We start from the raw sequence: 7135 nt of genomic DNA, 5'->3' as shown, positions 1-7135 counted from the left end.
TCTTGCTGTGTGCATTTGTGGAAGGGCACCATTTCACTTATTTTATTGGTCATGTCTGCTTGATTTAATGGGATCTTCAGAAAAGAGGAACTGTGCTACAGAAAATATATCTCTCAATCCTAGCCAACAACCATCTTAACAGATGAAAATGTAGGCAAAAATATATGCTTAGATTCTCATGGAAGCTCATCACTGCTACAGGAAAAGCAATTGCATATAAGTTATGAGTGGTAAATTTGATTGTTTTCATTTATAAAGGGGAGAGTGTTTGTGAAGTATTTGGTTAATTTTGCTTACACTTCTGCTGGGCTGTGTAAAAGTGTTTATTTCAGACAAGAAGAAAAGTGTTACAACTCTCCAGGTACAAGAGGTATAACATTGTTATGGCATCTTCCAGCAAAACTTTATTTACCTGCCCACATCAAGTCTGGTGTAAGCTGACAGTTATAAGGCAATGCCTGTCTGCAATCCTAGTTTGAAAGTGATATTATTTCACAAGACAATAGTGAGGGGCTGCCACATGTTAAAAGAAGATGAGACTGATGTCAGATCCAACTGCTTAGTTGTTTGGGGGCATCCTGTATTTACCAGGTCTAGGATTGGAGTTATAAAAATATCAGAATTTTTAAACAATGTTTTTTTTTGGTAAGTTTATGGAGGGGGCACCTGTGAGCAGTCAAAGAATATTTCCAAATGAAAATTTTTTTAAGAAATACATAGTGATAGCAATGTGTTTGGCCCCTCTTCTTCATTTCTTTCCTCACATCTGAGATAACAGAAAAAAAACATATTTCTGATATTAGAGTGGCTTAATAAAAGTATTCTTACCCTGGAAAACATTTTCTTTCTAGGAACCCCCAGAAACGTTTTATTTTTCTTATAACTTAAATTGGAAACCAGGATTTGGGGAACCATATTTAAATAGATTAAGTGCTAGTTGGCATTTGGTTGCAAACCCGGGTTTCTCCTTTGTTTCATTAAAAATGTTCCAAATGATTGATGGGTAATGCAGTAGTTTTATTTTTCAGTTTTTGAGGAACCCTCAAACTGCTTTCCTTAATGGCTGTGCTAATTTACATTCTTACCCACTGAATGCCCTCACATTTTCTAATAAGATCTCTGCTAAGTTCAGTTTTCTTCAGAAATAAGTACACAAAACTAAGAAGAGGGTAAGTCCTGGGACGCATCCTCCTCTCCCTTGCTTTGTTTTCCGTCCCCTCCTCCAGCTCCCACCTGCAGCTTCCACCTCTGCTTCTTATACTTGGGACTCAGGGGAAAAGCTTTTGATAATAAACGTGACTTGCATTACCTTGTATTTTATTCCTTCCCATTTCAATGGCATCAAGAATGACAAAGAGAGAAAGAATTAAGGTGGAGAAAGGGAATAGACTTTCCAGAAATTGAGTTAACTATTTACCAATTCTAACGCAAATCCAGAAACTATATCAATATATCAGTTCTAGGATAGAACTTATGGCACTATTTCTCTCTTAAGTCTGGCATTGATTGAAAAAGTTTTTTGGAAACTCTTATAAATGTTACCAAAGGTTTGATTTGGAGATGAACGACTGGTTCAAAAAAGAAAAGAAAAAAAAAAGATTAGCTGGGGTTGGAGTGGCAAGGGGGAAGGTAATTTCTCAAGGGTTTAAAAGAACACAGTGAATGAGTTAGAATTGGATAATGATGATGAAGAGGAAGAGGAAGTTTGGTCAGCAACAAATTATTTTAGGCTTCCTCAATTTTTTACATAATAAATTTTAGGCTATGAGACATCCAAGTGAAAATACCCTAAAGACAGCTGGGATTGTAGGAATAGATCATGAATGATACACAGTAATGAAGATTTCTATTTGAGATTCAGAGAATCACAGTATTTTATTGCTTGAAGGAACTTTAGACGACATCTGGTACATTCTCCTCAACTTAAAGATTATGAAATTGAGTCTCAAGAGCTTAAATAATATGCCCAAGGTCACAAAGCAATTTAGTGTCAGAGTTAGAATTACCTCCCAGATTTTTTGGCCATCAACTAGCCCAATGTTCTTAACATACCACTGAGCTATTATCAGGATAGAGATGATTAGTAATGATATGAAAGAAGTGAATAAAAGGGAAATAAAAATATTTTTTAAAAAGAAAAATGAATGGAAAAGAATATGAAGCCCAGGGTTTGGTGATGATATTTATAATTACATTACGTATGCAGAAGGATGAGGAGCACATAAGATAGATGGGTGATTAGGGAGCTGGAAGGAAAGCAGCAAAATTGTTTTCTTAGAAATCAATCATGAAATGCTTCAAAGTCCTTTTCAGCAACTATTTTGTTGTTGTTGAGTTGTCCAGGAAGTATTAGTGACCTGTCAGTTGAGAACATTCAGAATATAAGTTTTAGGGACAGATAATGATTTTGTTAGTTTTGTGCACTTATGTGTCCCACACACATAGTAGGTCCTTAATATGAGAAAATAATTCACTAGTAAACAATACTACACATTGTTTTAAAGATGCTATAAATATATAACGTGATCTATTTTGTGCCTGTTAACCTATAGATCATCTATTACTATAGATTACAAAAAAACTTCCTCTAAAAATTATAAGGGCATTTGAAATTGAAGCAGAATAACCATAGACTAAGATTCAATTTTCATGTCATAGATGCTCTGCACGTTTTGGAGCAATATGTTATGCCAAAACAATGTATTGTTATGACTACCATATTTAATATCAATAACAGTGGCATTCTGAAAAATTGGAATTGTCATTATATTTGAATGTAAAAACTACTCATTTAGATTTGTTGAGTTTTAGGATTTGGAACCATAGGTATAGACAGTTAATAAACACAGAAACTTACGAAGTGCAACTTAGATTCATATACATGAAATTCAAAATTCTTGCATATCATCTTCATAACACCCTGTTTCTCTCTGTACCCTTTCTCTTTTCTCTTAATCAAAGTTTCTACTTTTATTTAAAATTAGATTATTGAGTACTTACTGTGTGCAAGGCTATGCTCTAAATGCTTTTCATGTATTGACTCATGTAACCTTCACAACAATCTATAAAATAGTTACTATTAATGCTCTCACATATGTTCTTACATTTGAGTAAATTGAGGTACAGAGGAGTTAAGTAACTTGCTCACATTCGTACAACTAGTAAATTAAATAGCTGATATTTAAACCCAATAAATCCATCTATGAAGACACATTCTGAGCCATTACCTTATGCCACTCATTTAAGGAATAAGTATTTACTCCCATTAAAGATACTCATCATTTACCTCTCCTATCTTGGGTTTACCCTATTTGGGGTTTGCTAAACTCTTGAATATGTGGGTTCATATGTTTTGTCAAATATGGGAGACTTGGGACCATTTTTTTTGCTGCTACATATTTTTATCTTTCTCCTTTCCATCTGGGCTCCCAATTATACATATAATATAGAGCTTATTATTATTACATAGGTCACTAGGGCTCACTTGATTCCTCCTTTTTCCAGTCTTCTTTCCTCTTTGTACTTCAGTTTGAATCATTTTTATTAACCTGTCTTCAAGTTCACTAATCCATTCTTCTCCAGTGTCTAATTTGCTCCAGTGTCTAATTTTCTTTTAAGTCCATTTAGTGAATTTTTCTTCACAGATACTATATTTCATAGTTCTAAAATTTCTATCTGTTTTTAATAGTTTCATTTATCTGTTCTCAGTCCTCATATGTTTATTCATTACATCTATATTTTACTTTACATTTTTAAAAATATTTAGAATACTTTTTAATGTTTTTTTGCTAACTCCAAAATTTTTTCATCTCACGGTCTGGGAGAAAATGCAGAAATAATAGCTTCAGTCAAGGCAAAGAAGTTGGGACTTCAAATTATACTACAGAGCTATAGTAACCAAAATAGCATGTACAGACATAAAAACAGTCACATAGACCAGTGGAACAGAACAGAAAATCCAGGAACAAGTCCACACACCTACAGTGAACTCATTTTTGATAAAGGTGCCAGGAACATATATTGGAGAAAGAACACTCTTTTCTATAAATAGTGCTGGGGAAACTGGATATGCATATGCAAAACAATGAAAACTGACCCCATACACAAAAATGAAAATCAAAATGAATTAAAGACTTAAATCAAGACCTCAAGCCATGAAACTACTATAAGAAACATTGGGGAAACCCTGCAGGACATTGGTCTGGGCAAAAATTTCCTGAGTAATAAACCACAAGCACAGGCAACCAAAGCAAAAATGGACAAATAGGATCATATCAAGTTACAAAACTTCTGCACAGCAAAGGAAACAATCAACAAAGTGAAGAGACAACCCACAGAATGGGAGAAAATGTGTGCAAACTACCCATCTGACAAGAGATTAATAACCAGAATATATAAGGAGCTCAAACAACTCTACAGACAAAAGTCTAATAATCTGATCAAAAATGGGTAGAAGATTTAAATAGACATTTCTCAAAAGACATACAAATGGCAAATGAGCACATGAAAAGGTGCTCAACATCACTGATCATCAGAGAAATGCAAATCAAAACTACAACGACGTATCATCTCACCCCAGTTAAAATTGCTTGTATCCAAAAGACAAACAGTAGCAAATGCTGGTGAGGATGTGGAGAAAAGGAAACATGTAGACCCCAAAATTAAAACAGAAAAAAAAAAAAACAAAGAAGCTGGTGTCTGTGTGTTCTGTGTGACTGGAGAGTTGAATAATGCATTTACACAGTGGGCTTGTATAGAGCCATGAAAATAAATGACCTATGGCTAAACATATCAACATGATTGTATTTCAGTAGCATAATACTGAATGAAAAAGCAAGTCACTGAGGACTTTTCACAATAATGTACCCTCTTTTATTTTAATTTTAATTTTATTTTTGTTATTCATTTATTGATTTATTTTTGAGATAGGGTCTCACTCTGTTGCCCAGGCTGGAATGCAGTGGCGCGATCTTGGCTCACTGCAACCTCCGCTTCCCTGGCTCAAGTGATTCTCTAGCCTCAGCCTTGTGAGTAGTTGGGATTACAGGCATGCACCGCCATGGCTGGCTAATTTTCGTATTTTCAGTAGAGACGGGGTTTCACCATGTTGGCCAGGCTGATCTCGAACTCCTGACCTCAGGTGATCCACCCACCTCAGCCTCCCAAAGTGTTGGGATTACAGAGTGAGCCACCAAGCCCGGCGTCCCCATTTTTTAGAGTTGAAAAACAGGCAACATCAAACAATATGGTTTAAACATACCAACATGCAATAAAAACAATGTAACAAGAAACATTCTGGATAGTATTTGTCCTATTCTGAATAGGATAGCTGGGGGCACTTTGGGAGGGGAAAATAGGGAGATGTTAATTTTACATGTTCTTGGAAAAATTACCAGAAATTCAATTTATATCCTACAACAATACTCCACAAAAAAATTTTCCTCTCTTGTCCACTAAAATTCCCCCTTTTTCTGCAAGTGCTTTGGAGCTTATTATTTGCTAAATCCTTAGAAGTTCCTCTCCCGTCTACCCAAGTTGATAGATATTGGTTTGGCTAGTAGTTTTATGGATATTGATATATTATAAAATAAAAACTTAAATGCACAAAATACTAACCAAATAAAGTAAGATAAATGAGGTTCACCATACCAATGAGAACAGAGTATTGTGAAAAAGGATTATGATTATGTATTGGGCAATTCCGAGCCCCTGGGTGACATGCCAAAAATTTAAAAGCAAATTAAGAAACAGGCAATGGGGTATATAATGCAGGAAAGGTGGGAGATAGCGACCCAATATTTTCTCTGCCCCATCATGTCCCTGAAACTCACAGCTTGCTTCATTTACAAGCAGTAAGCAAATATTTAAACTTCATTTGAATTTCTAGGTCCATCCTTTCTAAAGTAGGAAGTACCCCAATGAAGTTGGCATCCCCAACTCTCATTTAAAAGGGGTTCCACTTATGAGCTAATAATGCATCTGGGATCCAGAGGATTAGTCAGAATCACAGGCCTTTCAAGTTACCTGACACATCTGAAATCTTCAGCTTTGTGGGATGACTCTGCACATTTGCCTTATGCAGCCTCCACTTCCTTATCTCCATTTTGGTTTTCTCTGCTACCAACTATCACCACTTCCTATATCACTCCTGCTGTCTGAAAACACACACACACACACACACACACACACACACACACACACACCCCACACACACACTGTGGCAGCAGTTGATAGCGCTGGGCTGCTTCATTGGTCTCTACTACTGAATTCTTTCTGTGCCTGCTCCTGAATTGTTCAGTCCTCTTTCAATACCGAATCCATGTGCAGGCCAGGAGTTCTGCTGCTTTCTCTTTTTTAAGCCGCTCTGTGGCTCCAGACCTGCAACTATGTTCCATATTCCCAGCCTTGTGGCTCAAGTCCTGCCATTGTTTGACTTCTGGGTTTATCCTGTTACCTGCCTGAAATGTGAGGCTTTTCTGACTTTGCTTTCCATGGGTTAACTCATTTGTTCAGGTTCAACTCAGGCATCTCCTCCTCTGGGGAACCATCTCTGCCTGGTGTGCCCCGCTTCCTCCCCGTCTCAGCACTGATAACTCCAGCAAAAAAAAAAATTCCTTTGTAATTTTTTATTTGAGGACATGATAATTTTAATATGTCAGCATTCCCAAGTTGCCTTTCTAGTGTTTTTTTGTTTTTTGTTTTTTGTTTTTTTTTGTAACTCAAGTAGTGTTCTTTCTTTCCCAGCTCCTTTTCCTGGGCTTTTTGTGGGGTAATTGTGACAAAAGGCAGAGACAGACAGGACTAGGGAGGCTGCAGAAAAGGGTTTGTTCTTAAGTTTGCTTTTGTGATAAAGAATCCATGCAACTGATTAAAAAATAACATCTAAATCTGAATCCAGAAAGAAAAGTTGAAAAGTCACTTGGGTAAACTGAGGAGGAATTTTTGACAATAGTCTCTAAAGCATTTGCAGAGAAAGAGAGAATTTTAATGCACAAGAGAGGAAAATATTTTTTGTGTGGGATATTGCTGTAGAACATAAATTGAATTTCTGGTAATGTTTTCCAGGAAGAACATAGAAAGACTGGAATTACTTTTGAATTATTGTCAACTGACTTAAAAAATTGTTACTACATAA

At 36.0% G+C, this 7135-nt stretch overlaps 1 annotated feature.

Moving 5' to 3' along the window:
- Positions 5931-6225: an enhancer, noted in NCBI's record as "tiled region #12229; K562 Activating DNase matched - State 5:Enh, and HepG2 Activating non-DNase unmatched - State 24:Quies". NCBI's record gives its function as "activates a minimal TATA promoter and a strong SV40 promoter by Sharpr-MPRA in K562 cells, with weaker activity in HepG2 cells {active_cell/tissue: K562 | HepG2}" and the evidence as "EXISTENCE:reporter gene assay evidence [ECO:0000049][PMID:27701403]".

This window comes from Homo sapiens, chromosome 8 (genome assembly GCF_000001405.40).
Source record: "Homo sapiens chromosome 8, GRCh38.p14 Primary Assembly".
Lineage (NCBI taxonomy): Eukaryota > Metazoa > Chordata > Mammalia > Primates > Hominidae > Homo > Homo sapiens.
Note: the sequence above shows the minus strand (reverse complement) of the source record. Positions and strands in the feature narration are given on the sequence as shown.